The following is a 16,003-nucleotide window of genomic DNA, read 5'->3' on the forward strand; positions in this document are numbered from 1 at the left end:
CACTAAAATGAAACTAATACTTGTTGATTCACCTATTTATGAATCAGCTCTTATCCTTGCAATATAAATACAAACAACAGATCTGACTCAGCTGAAATCAACTTAATGAAAATGTCTAAGTCCAATTCTGATTGAGGAGAATGAGATCCTCATTACATGATTAGTTATTTAAAATCACAGAAGTAGAGACAGATTCACAATGAACAATCATGCATTAATTAAACCAATCCTTAAGCCAAATATCTTTTAAGTATAATATTTTCTATTCCTATGAAATAGACATCTCAAGCTTAAAATGTTCCTCCTTCCCAGCCTGTTCCTTTTAGTTTTCCCCATCTTCATTAATGGCAACTCCAATCTTTCCATTGCTCAGGGTGAAAATCTTGGAGTCATGCTTGAGTCCTGTCTCTCACACTTCATATCTAACCTATTAACCTTGTTGGCAGTACCTTCCAAATATATTCAGAATTTGACCACTTCCCATCAGTGCTATCACCTTGGCCAAGTTATCATCATCTTTTATCTAGATTGCAGGAGTAGCTTCCTCACTATCCCCCTGCTTTTGTCCTTTCCCACCCTACTGTCTCCTCTCAACACATTTACACATTGAACAAACAGAACATGTATGCTTGAGTGTTCTGTCAGACCCACAGATCCTAAACACTGCCCTCAGATACACACAAAAAGTTTTGGCACCGGGTTGTCCCCTTGAAGGGACCTGAAACAGAAATCAGTTCATTCTTTTCAGTGCCCAGTGTCTCTGCCTTTGCAGATACTCATTCTCTCTTTCCTTGAATGTTGCTAGAAACTCTTGACTGGATTTCATGCCCCCAGATGCTCCCTTTCTAACATAGCCTCATCAGAGTTCTTCCTAAATTACTGACTAAATTACTAAATTGATCATGCAATTTTCTTATGAAAATCTCGCCATTTACCCTGAAGATAATTTATCAGCCTTTTCAGCTTTGTTTCCTGCTCTTATACCAAAGTACTAGCCATTTTTACTACTACAACTAAACTGGGCACACCTTTGAAAATCTGTTTCCATTAAAGTCCAGGTTCAAATGTTTCCTAATCCATGAAGTCTTCACTGAAACTTCTCATCCCCAACCTCGGCAGTATTGTTTCTTCAGCTTCATTTCATGGTATTTTGTTTATCTTCCTAGAATAAACCTTATACAATCTAGCCAAGATGTAGTAAGATATTTCTTGCCACTGGATTTTGAGCTGTTTTGTGGCTGGGGGATTTATTTTTAAATTTGTCTTTGCATCTCCATTGCCTTAGCCTAGTGACTGACTCATATTCCTGGTAAGTAAATCTGTTGTAATCTCTTGAGTTCCTTAAAATGTTACCATAATAGACCAAAATCTGATTGAAGACCCTGATTGCAGGCAACTTTCAATCCAAAAATCAAGGGTATAACCTAGATGTCAGCTGCACCTTCCTGGCATTATGTCCTTCAGGTCAGTATCCATGATCAATATATAACTTAGTTGTGAAATGTCTGAGTTTCCAAACAATTCACCCACACTAGATAGTTCAAGAATTTAATAGCCAAACTTTTACAGGGCTGTATAGCTCCTGCCGTCTTCCTTGCTGTCTTCCTCTACTTCACTCCTTGCTTTTGGAACACATTTCTCTTACTTTCTCATTAGACATGTTTTAACTTTCTCTGAAGCCCTAGTTCTAGCCAACATACCTAACCCATAGGAAATCACCTAACTTAAGTAGGATTATTCTAGATATTTTCTCAGCTAAAGAGATTCTCTCAAGATTAGTTATTGGCTGGGTGCGGTGGCTCACGCTTGTAATCCCAGCACTTTGGGATGCTGAGGTGGGTGGATCAGGAGGTCAAGAGATCGAGACCATCCTGGCCAACATGGTGAAACCCCGTCTCTACTAAAAATACAAAAAATTAGCCGGGCATGGTGGTGGCCGCCTGTAGTCCCAGCTACTCAGGAGACTGAGGCGGGAAAATCGCTTGAACCCAGAAGGCGGAGGTTGTCGTGAGCCGAGATTGCGCCACTGCACTCCAGCCTGGCGATGGAACGAGACTCCATCTCAAACAACAACAACAACAACAACAAAAAGATTATCAATCTAGCTAGTAAAAGAAGAAGATTTTCTTCTTGTTACATCTTCCTCTGAGAAAAATATTTGAAACACTTTGCAAATTTATCCCATAAATTCACTCCTCAAAGGCAGTTAGAAGACAATAAAACATGCTATTTATCTGTGGTACCTGAGCCTCCTGGGATTCACAGCCCGTCCATCCATCCTCCTTTTCCTCAGGCAGTTACTCTTTAACTTTCATGTGCTTCAGAACCACTTGGTGGGCTTCTTTAAAACACACTCCTAGACCTACTCCCAGAATTTCTGATTCAGCAGGTCTGGGAGTCGGGGAGGATTCTGTATTTCTAAATGGCTTCCAGGTGATATTGATACTGCCTGACCTAGGACCACACTTTGACAACTCCTGCCATAAGTAGTGCTTAAATTTGGCTGCACATAAAATCAACAACTGGGGAACTTTTAAAAATCTTTACGTCAAGGCCATACACCAGCCAAATAAAATTTGAATCACAGGGGATAGATTCCAGGCCTCGGTATTTTTAAAAAACTCCTCAGGTAATTACAATGTGCAGCCAAGTTTGAGAACCTGTGCCCTATAGGATTAAGTACAATTCCCCTTTGGGCCTTGTTATGGTAGACTCTCAAGAAAATCTCTTTTATGGGACCTGAGACTGACTATACGATATATAATAATTTTCCTACTCATGGGAAGCAAATAGGAGCAAGAGATGAGGATTACTGGGAGTTGTGGTTAAACAAGAATCTGTGTGATTTAACAAGCGTGTAGAAGATGACAGGCATACCTACTTTAAATGACTTGCCAGAAGCTTTTCTTTGTTTAGAAATCATGATTGCTTCTGATTTAAGGAAGGAAAGGAGGACAAAAGACGTGGCTCAAATGAGGCAAATGTACTGTAATCTTTGTTACCTCTGGTTCACAAGTTCTGCCAAGGGAAGTAATAAATGGCATCCCATTCAAAGACTTACTGGGTCTCCAGCCTGTTTCCCTGCACATATTTTTCTATGCATAGAACCTGCTTTCCAGGTAGCAAATTAGAGGGCATCGTTTGTAACTAGGGCTTCAAGTTTGTTTTGGGGAGTCTTTAGAAAAGAGGATGGGATCTACATTTCTCTGCTTCTGGGGATCTTGTTGGAAATTTGACCTCAAGTAGCTGAGTCATACTTAAATCAACTCCAGCTGCTTAAGTCTGAATTGGTGCCTCAGAATTCCAACTCATACAGGCTTGTTTCCTTAGAGTAGGCAGTATTATTTCTCTCTTTTCCTAAATTATTTTCATTAAGATTGACAAGAGGGGAGACCCCTCTGGGACATCAAGAAATTCAAACCTCAGTAATGCTCTGCTGCAGTAAAGTTTGTGCAATTCTTATATAACTTATTCCAATAAAATTTTATTCTCAAAACTATTCAGAAGCCTCTTTTTACTAATTGCAAAAATCATAGTCTTAATACATATGAAGATAACTTTTCTCCCTCTTATTGGTGTACAAATCCCTATGGTTCTCTGTGATACCTAGACCCTTTTCAAGTGTTAGATGTTCAGCCTGAGATAGATGCATGGGCAGTTTTGATATTACATGTGACCTCTGCTGCTGGGACCTGTTAACTTTCTATTCATTTCTCTGAGTGTGTCCTACTAGCCTCAATACTTAAGTGGCATATTAAAACCAAAACTCAAAATTCCCCTTTCCAATTTCTGATCCTTACTTCCCAGGAATGTCCTCTGATTTTTTAGTAACAGGCGGCCTATACCAGAGGCTTTAACGTTTGCACAACAGCTGTCTCACAGAAGGAGACAGGTTCTAAGAGGTCTGCCCTAGAAGATGGAACATGGATGGAACTTTGGATCAGTTCCCAGAAGCCAGACTATGAACCTCCTTGCTCCTTACAGTACAAAAAAAAAAAAAAAAAAAAAAAAAGCAAGTCTCTGGATGCAGTTTGATCACCAAATTCCAAAGTCCTTATTCTCCTGCTGCTTCTTAACCACTCTTGTAAGCTCAAGAACTTTGAACAGGTCTGGCTGTGAGTCCCTCAAAGGCAGTTTCACTGATGTCACAGTAGTTCCACACTAACTCTAGTGGCCTGTGCAAGGTTAATCTCTACTTCTCCAGACCAGGTATCCAACAATTTAGATTCATGATGTAAATACTCTCCTGCTGGTTTCTGAGGTGGAGATTTAGTATAGATTTAGTCCTGAACTGTAGCACAAAGGAGCTGGGTGAAAAATCAGTGACACCTGATTCCATTTGGGTTCTCCAGGCCTTGTAGTCTCATTTGTCTCTATATAGCATCATATTAATCCAGGCATGAAAATCAGCAATTCTTTGATATTCTCTATAAAGTTGCCCCATCAAAATTCCATATTAATTTTGCTGAAGATTTGACAAGTTCTGGGGATGGGGCATATCAAGTACTGCACATCATTTCCCCAACATCTCATTGGTTTTCTGTCCCAACCTTGGCCTCTCTTCTCAAATAGTAAACAACTTTTCTTGTCTCAAAGTACTTTTACCCCCTTTTCTGAAGTTTTGGGGTCAAGAGACAGCTATGCTTCTCAGAGTCACTTAGCACAAGTGAACTTGAGACATATTCCTAACAAAAACAGATCTCTTGCTAACAAAAATTCTCATGTGATTTTCTTAAGAAAAATGTCAAGTGCCACTTATTGGCCCCATTCAATATGCCAGATGTTATATTCAACACTTTATGAACATTATTCCACTTAATCCTTGTAACAATCCTTTGCAGGAGGCAGTGTGTTTTTCCATTTTTAAAAGAAAACTCAAGCTCGGAGAGGTTAAGAGCATATACATGGTAAATGGTGGAAGTGAGGTTTGAATCTAATATTGACACCACAGCCTATGTTCTTAATCACTACCACTGCGCATCAACTACGTTTCTGGCACATGCCGCTGGGGATATGCCAGATACATACTCTTTTGCACCTTGTACAATACCACAGAGAAATGCAAAATAAATAATTTTTAATAGGGCAAAGGGCTCGGTACTCTCAAAAGCAGAAATAGCCCAGAGGGAGGGCTTGAGCCCGTAATTCTAGCACTTTGGGAGACTAGGGTAGGAGTATCCCCTGAGACCAGGAGTTCAAGGTTACAGTGAGCTATGATTGCGCCACTGCACTCACCTGGGTGACAGAGCAAGATTGTCTTAAAAAAAAAAAGTCACATATATACATAGAATATGCAATTAAAATATATTTCATAAACTATCTGCTATGAAATCTGTGCCAGTGTGAGCTTTCTCCAAGTTTTAATTTATGGCTGGCTGTGGATTTAGTCCTGAGTCTAACAAATAACACAACCTAATAATTATTGCCTACTTTGAGGAAGATATTCTTTTGGTTTTTGTTAAGAATAGAGTGAACCATAAAAGATTATATCAGACCTCAAGAGTTTATTATAATTGGGTTATAAGGCATGTGCTCTCGAAAAGTTGTTACATAAATACGAAAAATATACTGTTAAATGACTGGCCCAACTAAATCAGTTCCCAAAGCTGTGCTGGTTAGACAAACCTACAAGGAAATGGTGAAATTTCCAAGGAAATGGTGAAATTTCAGTCCAATTTTGAAGAACAGGTTTTGAAGGGCTGTAGAGAAAGCTGGAAGCACACTCCAAGTGGAACGATAACTTGGAAATATACTGTCTTATTATCACAGGCTGCTCCTGAAAGCCACGCGTCCCCGCTCACCAGCTACCAGCGCTGGGAGACCCCTAACCACCAGGCATTCACAGGTGAGGAAGCCCCTCCCACAGCGGCCGGAGTTTCGGACTCGGAGCGCGAGAAACGTCGGGATAGCGCCTGCCTCGCAGAGCTTCCGCTTCCGGCCCTTCAGGCTCTGTCTCTGTGGAGACTGGGCTTTGGGAGGGAGAAAGAGGGACCTAGCGCGGGCCGCGCAGGCGCACGGTGGGCAGCTGCAATGGCGCTGTCGTGTACCCTTAACAGGTATCTGCTCCTCATGGCGCAGGAGCATCTGGAGTTCCGCCTGCCGGTGAGTCCGTAGCGCCCTCCGGAACTTCCGACGGAAGAGGACGCTGGAGTGGAGTGGAGTGGGTGGAGGTGATCTGCATAGCCCGAGGAAGCTGGGATTCGGGGGTCTTCGCTGGTCTGCGCGGGTCACGCGTCCCCAGTCCTCGGGCGGGGTGAGCTTGGCGGAGGGTGTGTGTGAGAGAAGTCCGAGACCAAACCCCTCGGCCTGCTTAAACTTTTCATTCTTTTGCCCGTGTATCAAGTACCGGAGTTAGGCAGGTGAATATGACCGGTCATCTCACTCCCGGAGCTCTTCGTCTAGCGGAGAATAGAGACAGCTAACAAATGCTCAGGCTGGTGTTTGAAGTATTGGAATCTGCGGATCAAGCTCAGTGGAGGGGATGGTGGTGGGGATTAGATGATGGAGAAGTTGAGAAGAGTGTTTTATTTATTCAAGAAACGTTTTCAGAATGCATGTAGTCGAAGATCGGTACGCTGGGCATGTAACGATGATGTAAGCAATCTCTGCCCTCTAGGAGCTTACTGTTTAGAGTAAGGGCTGAGCAGACACATAGGCGTAGAATGACAAAAGAGCGTCGGTAAGTGCAGTGATAGATGCACATGGAAATATGAGAGCACGTGGAAGGGAAATCTAATCTACCTGAGGGGTTGGGGATGTTGGCCTTTAAGAGGGCTTCCAGAGGAGATGACACTTGAAATAAAGGATGAATAGGAGTTAGAGGGCCAAGGAGATAAATCAGTAAATTAGAATTACAAGGTGTTCATTATTACTGGATCACTAGTTATGTGGCAGAGTGGTAAGAAGAGAGCAAGGGAAGTAGATCGAGGCCAGAAAATGAAAACCTTGAGTACCCTGGAGCTTGGAAGGGGGATTTATTGAAAAGCCTTAAGTAAAAAAGTGACCACAAAATTAAATCAGTTTGACAACACTATGGAGGATGGATTTGAAAAGAATAAGACTTGAGCCAGAGACTAGGAGTCTGTGGGAATAGTCTTGTTAATAGATTAAGAAGGTCTGACCTAGGGCAAGGAGTAAGAGGATGGGATAGACTGGGAAAATATTTAGGCCATACAGTCATTAAGGCTGGATTGATTGAATATGTGGGAAAGGGGCACCAGTCAGGTATGACTCCTGGGGTGTATATAGGTAGGAGTGTCTCCATTTAAAATAGAGAACATAGGCAGATGTAAGATTTAAATTTTGTTTACACTGAATTTGATGTGGTTGTGTAACATCAACCTGAGATGACCAAGAGGCGGTGGATATATGAATATGCATAGAGTATGGCAGAGTGATCTGGACTAGTGATAAATATTTGGGAGTCTTCTTCATATGAAAACTAGGAGCGGGGAAGAAATTACTCAAAGGATAAGGTCAAAAGAGTAGCGGGCCAAGTATAGATGCTTGGAAGCATTGATATTAAGGGAAAGTCGGAGGAGGCCATGAAGAAGATGGGCAAGTGCCAGAAGGATGTGAGACCGCAGAAATCAGAAGGGTAAAGTTTTAGGAAGCAGGGACAAATGGATAAATGTCGAATGCAGTTGCTTTTTAGTGAGAAAAGAATGAAAAAGTGTCATTGATAGTCTCAATTAGAAGATAATTAATTGGTGATTTTTGCTAAAGCGAATATGTTGAGTTTTAGTAGGAGAAGCCAGGTGGCTTGGTTTAGTAATCACTGGAAAGTGAGGAAGGGGAGATAGGATAGACTGAGTGTCCTTAGCTAGAGCATAAGGGAAAGTAAGAAATTGGTTAACAGTTTGAAGAGGACCTAGGGTGAAAGGAGGATTCTCCCCATGGAGAGAATGAGATTGAGCTTGAGTGTATTTGTAGGCTGATGGGAAGAGAAGGGATACAAGGGCATGGTGGGAGGGGTTCTCTTTTCAGTAGGAGGGGAGATTGGACAAGGAAAGTTAGGGTGGGTGTGGAGTAGTTGCCTGAGGGCCTGTTTTGTAGGTAATGAATGAGTGGAAGTTATTTCTTGAGAGATGATGGGCCAGCAGTTGAATGGGGAAACTGAGACAAATAGTAAAACTTGAAATAGTCATTGAGACCAAAGGGGAGAGTTGACAAGGAAAAGTAAAACGATTGAGTGGAGAAGAGCATAGGTATTAGAGCAATGCTGAAAACCAGCTGAAGGTGAAAGTCGTATATCTGTAATCATGCTAAGATTCTGTGATTTTCTTCAGTTGTGTTTAACTCATTGGCCTTAGGAGTCATGAAGGAAGATTGTGGCATTGATGCAGTATTAATGTTTTGAGTTTCTGGAGGAAATAAATTTTTAATTAAGTCTTAATTGACAAAGGACATGTTCTGTTGGTGAAGAGGATTGGAAAGCCCCCTTCTGTGAGAAACAGAAACAGGCTTAAAGGCACAGAGGTGTGATTGGTTATGGTAATTTGGAAGGCTTGGGGAGGGAGGTTGAAGTGGTGGGCATTGAGGCCAGAGAGGTGGTAAGATCTAGATTTGCAAATGTTTTGACACCATTCTAAGGAGTTTGGATTCTTTTTTTTTTTTTTTTTTTTTTTGAGACGGAGTCTCGCTCTGTTGCCAGGCTGGAGTGCAGTGGCGCGGTCTCGGCTCACTGCAAGCTCCGCCTCCCTATTCAAGTGATTCACCTGCCTCAGCCTCCCGAGTAGCTGGGAGTACAGGCTTGCACCACCATGCCCAGCTAATTTTTGTATTTTCAGTAGAGACGGGCTTTCACCATGTTGGCCAGGATAGTCTCGGTCTCTTGACCTTGTGATCCGACTGCCTCATGCTGGGATTACAGGCATGAGCCACTGCGCCTGGCCAGGAGTTTGGATTTTTAGATATAATGGGTAGCCACTGACTGTTTTTCATTTTAAGCCAGGAAGTGACAAGATCATTTGTGTTTTAGAAAGATCATTCTGAAGTACGAGAGAAAAGATACCACTTAGAGAATACTGGACCAGAACTAGAGAGGCTCAGGAGTGTGACTGTGTAAAGTAAGGCAATGCAGTGACAATGGAGTGGTTAGACTGTGGTCTCCAGAATAACAACCTTAGTACTTGGTGATTTTTACTTGTTTTTTCCGTCGTAAATTCTTCTTAGTGTATTACACTTGTGCCAGTTTATTCTTCCAAAAACTCTGTTCTGTTTTACACCCTCATTTTTCTTAAGATGAAAATCTTTAGTCGGGCATTCAAAGTCCATCACTGCATGGTTCTTTCCTTTGTGCTTTCACTTCCCACCTAGTCCTTAGTGCTGCCAAAACTGACTCATTATTCCCTGAATTCCTGCTTTCACCTTTGCTCTCTGTGCTCCCTTTAGTCTGGTTTGGGTCTTTCCCATTCTTTATTGATTTTTACATAGGAAGTATTCATTTAGAGTTAATCACATGTTTATTTCTTTTAGCTTTATATGTTTTACATGATTATTTTTCAGATCCACAGTTCCCTTTCTGTAGTTTTTCCTCCTCTGCCAAAATTCTTATTTTTTTCTTGAATCCCCTTCAATGTAGAAAGCGTAGTTATGTTAAAGTATATGATAAAAGGGATCCTGTGGGTCTGTTTCTATTGTTTCTTTTTGTTCTGTTTCATATAGTGGGCTATTTTTAAAATATATGCCAGATGTTGTATTTGAAAATTTATTTGAAAAAATAATTTGAGGGCTGGGATGATGTACATCCTCTTCAAGAAGATAGGAACGCATAGGAGCATGAGGAATCTAGGTTGGGTTTAACTCATTTTCAGGTGTTAAGCCCTGTTTGTGTTCTGATTCCCAGGTACTCACAGAGTGTAGCTTTTTGACATCCTAGTGTAAATTAGGTGGTTCATCAAGTATCCTTTTCTCCTCTGGGGGGCCCTTTCTCTTTTTTTCCCTTTCTATCGGGCACTCAGAAGGGCTGTTCACTCTTGCAGCTGTTTTTGGATTTGTAAATGTCTCAGGGAAAAAGTGGCTCCACCTTGGAATTTTTGTCCTCTCCTGGATGTTGGTTTGGTAATTTTTGTTATCTTTCTATGCCTTCAATTAGATGGCCAGCTTTTCTAGTTCTTTTCAGCAAGAAGCTTAATCTGAATTACCTCTTTTGCCATACCTGGAAGTTGAATTCCTGTCATTGGGTTAGATTTTTTTCAGGGATTGAGGCAGTTTCCATGAAACTTTACTTCTCAAACTGAAGTAATCTTTTACTCTCTTGTACTCTAATACTTTTTTGCTTTTACCTGTTTAAGAACATGTACTGTTTTTTACACTTTACATTTCAGTTGTGAGGTGGTTTTGTTGGTTCTACTAGACCATAATTTCCCTAAGATAAATGTGTGTGTATTTTTACATAGATCAGGGACTTGCACATATTAGTTGCTTAAAAATTTTTTTGGGGGTCCGGGCGCAGTGGCTCACTCCTGTAATTCCAGTACTTTGGGAGGCTGAGGCGGGCGGATCACAAGGTCAGGAGTTCGAGACCAGTCTGGCCAACATAGTGAAACCCCATCTCTACTAAAAATACAAAAAATTAGCCAGATGTGGTGGTGTGCGCCTGTAATCTCAGCTACCCAAGAGGCTGAGGCAGGAGAATCGCATGAACCTGGGAGGTGGAGGTTGCAGTGAGCCGAGATCACACCATCGCACTCCAGCCCGGGTGACAGTGTGAGACTCCATCTCAAAAAAAAAAAAAAAATTTTTTTTGGAGACTGTTCTCTCTCTGTTTTCCAGGCTACAGTGCAGTGGCGTGACCGTGGCTCACTGCAGCCTCAAAGACCCAAGTTAAGCCATCCTCCCACCTTAGCTTCCTGAGTAGCTGGGACTACAGGTGCACCACTATGTCTGGCTAATTTTTTTATTTTTATTTTTGTGGAGCCGGGTGTTAATCAGAGGCTGAGTGTTGGTGTGAGGGGGCGGGAGGGGGTCTTGGGAGCTCTCACTGTGTTGCCAGGGTTGGTCTCAGACTCCCGGTCTCAAGTTATCTCTTTGCCTCGGCCTCCCAAAGTGCTGGGATTGCAGGTGGAGCCGCCATACCTGGCTGCTTAAAATATTAAAATCAGTGATATAGAATCTCTTCTGGGAAAGGCAATGCAAAGGACAGTCTATCCTTTTGGGCCCAGCTACTGCATTAGAACTGATAAGCAAGGAAGCTATAATGAATGGCTGCCTTTATGAATTAAAATGAGAGATCAGGAATATAAGTGTGGTCCAGTTTTACCTCTGATAGAGTTAATCAGGGCTAAGTATAGTTGGCAGCTACTTAATGTAGTACTTATTGTACTAAATAGTGTTTACTAAAGTTCAAACTCCTGGGTTTTATTGCTTGTCCTGAAGCAACCTTTTAAATGGATGAAAAAGCAAGTAGCTGAAATAATAGAAAAGCTCATGGAATTAACGCATCACACATGCCCCAGATCATGCTACATTTTTATATCCAATGTTCAATATAAATTATTTTTTATTCCTAATATAGAAAGAGTCTCAACTGGAAAGTTGAATTTGCCATAAGATTAATGAACATTTTGTGTTTTGCTTTTTCCAAGTAGATTGATGAAGTGGTTTAAACATGTTTTGCTTTTCAATTTGAAACTTGGGTTATCATATTTATTCTCAGTTTTAGGTGGCTGCTTAAGCTTTGGGTAGTAGAGATAATGCTATGCCATAAAACTTTAATCTTTCACTTTTTTTCCCCACCTAACTCTTAGGATCTTTGTGTTTTAGCTTGTTGCAGCTTTTTAACAGTATATTCCAGGAGCAGCAAACTTTGGTGTTTTAACTTGGTTATAGTTGGATGTTTTAAATGTAAAACTGACTTTACAATATGCTTTAATATAGAACAAACAACAATCATGCAAGATGAAGTAATTTAATCTATAACTTTATTTTTTTTCTTTTAAGTGCTATAACTCTATCAGTCTTGGTTGACTTCTTGAGCCACTGGACTTCTAGGACAGTTATCAGGGTCCTCATCATTTTGATTCCCTTAATAACCACCTAGGTTCTATGCTTCTCTCTTTATAGTTCACCTAACCTGATGAGGTAGCTATGATTCCTGTTTCACATTTGAGGGAACTAAAAGTTGGAGGATTTAAGATTCTTGTATAAAGCCACATCGCTAGTATTTGGAAGAGCTGAAAATCAGATTATGGTCTATTTAATTTCTAAGTCTCATGATGTCTCCTATTCAGATTTGTGTTTTCCTTGCTGCAAAATAACCTTTGGGCTGCCTTCACTGATTTATCAGTAGTCTGTGATAGTTCTTGGTCGATCCATCTGATTGGACTGAATTCAGCCCCTTCTAACACTGAATTTTAAAAAATGATTTGTTGCATAGACAAAATAGAAATGGCACTAGTAGCTTGAACTTCTCATTCTTCTTGGTCTTGGAGTGGGGGACTTCCTGGTCTGGGTATAGTTTCCCTTTTGATGGCGGTGGGCTTGGTGTTAAAGGCTCTTCCTTCTGGTTGGGAGGAAAGGGGATAGTAGGTAGCCAGCAGTGGAACACTTACCTCTCATTAGGTTCCATCCTCCATGAGACCTATATGGAAGAGTGTGATTCTACCTGTTTTATGTGATTTAAGGAGATAACTTGTTAGTCATACAAATTATAAAATTTGTATAATTATTTGGGTTTATCAGTACAAAGTGATTGCTTCAAAGAATATAAACACTCTCTGGACAGATTTCAACTTTGCATGAATGATGCTTTTAAAGTATCTATTATGTTAGTTCTGTTTCTAGTTCTGTAACTTTACACAGAAAGAAGATGAGATAGTTATTTGTGCTTAATGAATACATAGTGGTATGCCCTGGCTGATTATTTTTTTCTTTTCCAAACATCTTCAAATCATGTGTCTGATTTTCATTTTAACTTTATTCATCAATCGTCAGTCTTACTAATCTGCACTTTGTGTAACCTGTTTTTTTCCTTTCCAAAATCAGGGAATTTTTTGATCAAGTGTTTGCTAACTCTTCTGTTGTCGAAAATTTCTCAGAAATTACTTACCTGTGGTTTTTATTATTAGATTATTTCTGAACCCTAAATTGTAATTGTCTGATGTTGAAGCTTAAATGCCTCAGTTAGATCTTCAGCCTACTCTTATTTTTTAGTCATGTAATACCTGTCTCCCTTAGTACATTTTTAGTTCCTTTTTGTTAAAATGTATTTTCTCTGTAATATTTTCAATACAGGAAATAAAGTCTTTGCTTTTGCTTTTTGGAGGTCAGTTTGCCAGCAGTCAAGAAACTTATGGAAAGGTAAGTTAAATTTTCATTAGACCATATGGAGTATACTTAGAAATAGAGCCTTGGGTTTGAAGAGAAGAAGTGCATATCTTAAATTTATATTTGTATGGTTACTTGTATCTGTTTCAAGAGGCAGTGGAATAAAGTGGATATTTTTGGAAAATTTGTGGTTTTGTTAAGTAATTTAGATTTATTTCTAGTATTTTATTTGTTTTACATTTTTAGTCAACAGTTGTGTCATAATTTGTCCTTTCACCTAAAAAAGGGCTGTGCTCCATTGGTGAGCTGTGTTTAGAATTTGAATTTAGAATTTGGCAGAATGTTGGGCTCGTGTTGAGAATCATTTTAAAATTTGAAATTGTGCATTGTATAAGACTGAATTTATGAGCTTTGTATTTTGCATAAAACTATATCAGTGTTTGACAGAAGTTTGGAAAATAGAAAAAATAATTTGCAGTTCCTTCTTGACGTGACTTATAATTTGGGGATGCTGCCTTCCAGTCTTTTTTTTTTTCGTGTACTTTTTTTTCCCTATTGTAATTCTACTTCTGTAGTCTGTGTTTCTCACCTGATAGTGTCAATATAGGCCTAAGTTGTTACTTGGCCTTTATCTCTAACATAGCTACATAATATTTTTCATTGACTAGCTCTACCATAATTAACCATTTCATTTTATTCAGGTTGCTTTAAAAATTTTCTCAATAAAAGTAATACTAAGATGAAAATATTTTTTCTTGTTTGGATTATTTTGAATTTTTCTGTTGGGTAGGGTAAATATTGGAAGAAAAAAAACGGGGTATATACCCAAAGTAATATAAGTCATTCTATTATAAAGATACATGCATGCATATGTTCATTGCAGCACTATTCACAATAGCAAAGCATAGAATCAACCTAAATGCCATCAGTGATAGACTGGATAATGAAAATGTACATATACACCATGGAAGCCATAAAAAGGAACGAGATCATGCATACTGTGCAGCCATAAAAAGGAATGAGATCATGTCCTTTGCAGGGGCATGGATAGAGTTGGAAGCCATTATCCTCAGCAAACTAATGCAGGAACAGAAAACCAAACACCACGTGTTCTCACTTATAAGTGGGAGCTGAATAATAAGAACATATGGACATGTCCAGGGAAACAACACACACTGGAGCCTGTTGGGGGTGGTGGAGTCTGGTGAAGGAGAGCATCAGGAAGAATAGCTAATGGATGCTGGGCTTAATACCTAGGCGATGGGTTGATCTGAGCAGCAAACCACCATGGCACACGTTTACCTATGCAACAAACCTGCACATCCTGCACAGGTATCCCTGAACTTAAAAGTTGAAGAAAAAAGAAAAAAGCTAGGTGTGACAGGAAGGATTTCTTGCAAAAGATGAAAGAGCTAAAGTTGAAAGTCCTGTAGTGTTGGACTTTTATTCCTGAATGACTTTCACTTATTGAGGGGAGGAGGAAAGGAAGGAGAGTGCGGATATAATTGGCTAAGGGTGATGAAATGAGGTCAGGATCCTTTTGGATTTTGCTGTGTTCTGGCAAGAGGTTATCTGGCTGCAGCTTACCAGTGCCTGTAATCTTGGGTGTTGGGATAGAGGATTGGGAAAACACCCCTGATGCACTTGGAGCTTTTTTCCCCTAGATAAAATATAAAATAGTAAAAGCTAATGAGAATTTAATAATGTACCTCATGATTTTCTATCATAGTTGTTTCAAAGGGCCCCTCCTTCACCCTCAGATGGCCACACCTACCTAGAAAAAGGTCTCATGTAGCAACTAAGAAATACATTACTTAGAAATTAAAAATGAAATAGCTGTATTATAAGGGATGATTAGCCATGATGAATTTCAAGATTATACTTTGGGATATAATATGCATTAATTCCTTTCGTAAAGCTACATAAAAGGGCAGATACAAAATTAATGTTTCATTTGAGGATATATTCGTTTATAGGGTCATTATAAAAATGTTTTTACTATATTATTCTAATTTACTTTTTTACTATTGGAACGATTTTTATTTTGGTTACAGTCAGATCAGATATTCTTACATGAAAGTAGCAAATAGGCACTTCTCCTTATTGACTTCTTGAATAAAAGCATATGAGGCCATGTAGCCACTTAGAATTAAGTTGCATATTGTTATTTCTTTTAGTCACCATTTTGGATTCTTAGCATTCCCTCTGAAGATATTGCAAGAAATTTGATGAAACGGACAGTGTGTGCCAAGTAAGAGAAACTTATGTTCTCCTGCATGAATATACTGGTACTTCTCATAACCACTCAATCCTGTTTTTTGCTATATTGGGCAGTGTGAAGGCTCAGTTTAGCTTGCAGTTACATACAACTGCCACTGGGTGGCGGTGGGGGACCAGAGGAGGGTTACCTGCCGAAACCAAGGATGAAAGAATCTCTGGGGAAATGTCGACACATTTGTTTTAGAATAATTTTTTAAAACTTCCGTATTATGCGGGAGTATAGTATGAGATATAAACACTATGTTCTTACGCAGGATAGATGCCACATATAATTATAACCAAAGTGCTGAAAATCCAAAAATACTTTTTTCATAGATGGTTTTTAATTGGATGAGCAGATTAGTGAAGTGTAAGGTAACAAAAAGTGAGGACTGCCGTGAGACATGTTTTACTGTTTCAGTTGGTAGAGAAAATAATTATGAGTACCAAATCTTGGTGTGAATTAATGTAATGA

The 16,003-nt window shown here is 39.7% G+C and overlaps 1 protein-coding gene across 68 annotated transcripts in view, besides 4 other annotated features; it reads left to right on the forward strand.

The window, feature by feature from the left end:
• Positions 5,243–6,073: an enhancer, noted in NCBI's record as "NANOG-H3K27ac-H3K4me1 hESC enhancer chr6:126306909-126307739 (GRCh37/hg19 assembly coordinates)". NCBI's record gives its function as "activates a minimal SCP1, AML or CMV promoter by ChIP-STARR-seq in primed H9 embryonic stem cells {active_cell/tissue: H9 hESC(primed)}" and the evidence as "EXISTENCE:reporter gene assay evidence [ECO:0000049][PMID:30033119]".
• TRMT11 (tRNA methyltransferase 11) overlaps positions 6,020–16,003 on the forward strand; it is a 285,804-nt gene continuing 275,820 nt past the window's right edge. For 51 of the 68 annotated variants that reach the window (XR_007059304.1, XR_007059310.1, XR_007059309.1 and 48 more), the window contains exons 1-3: positions 6,020–6,102; positions 13,237–13,302; positions 15,447–15,520. Coding sequence is in view for 6 of the 68 variants with exons in the window: in NM_001031712.3 (NP_001026882.2) it covers positions 6,031–6,102; positions 13,237–13,302; positions 15,447–15,520 (212 nt within the window). In the remaining 62 variants the exon portion in view is untranslated. Of the gene's footprint in view, positions 6,254–13,236; positions 13,303–15,446; positions 15,521–16,003 lie in introns of all 68 variants that reach the window. The other 17 variants (XR_007059327.1, XR_007059324.1, XR_007059325.1 and 14 more) reach the window with 5 other exon arrangements.
• Positions 6,051–6,540: an enhancer, noted in NCBI's record as "active region_25034". NCBI's record gives its function as "activates an Ori minimal core promoter by ATAC-STARR-seq in GM12878 lymphoblastoid cells {active_cell/tissue: GM12878}" and the evidence as "EXISTENCE:reporter gene assay evidence [ECO:0000049][PMID:35858748]".
• Positions 6,051–6,903: a biological region, named in NCBI's record as "NANOG-H3K27ac-H3K4me1 hESC enhancer GRCh37_chr6:126307740-126308569".
• Positions 6,074–6,903: an enhancer, noted in NCBI's record as "NANOG-H3K27ac-H3K4me1 hESC enhancer chr6:126307740-126308569 (GRCh37/hg19 assembly coordinates)". NCBI's record gives its function as "activates a minimal SCP1, AML or CMV promoter by ChIP-STARR-seq in primed H9 embryonic stem cells {active_cell/tissue: H9 hESC(primed)}" and the evidence as "EXISTENCE:reporter gene assay evidence [ECO:0000049][PMID:30033119]".

This window comes from Homo sapiens, chromosome 6, assembly GCF_000001405.40.
Source record: "Homo sapiens chromosome 6, GRCh38.p14 Primary Assembly".
Lineage (NCBI taxonomy): Eukaryota > Metazoa > Chordata > Mammalia > Primates > Hominidae > Homo > Homo sapiens.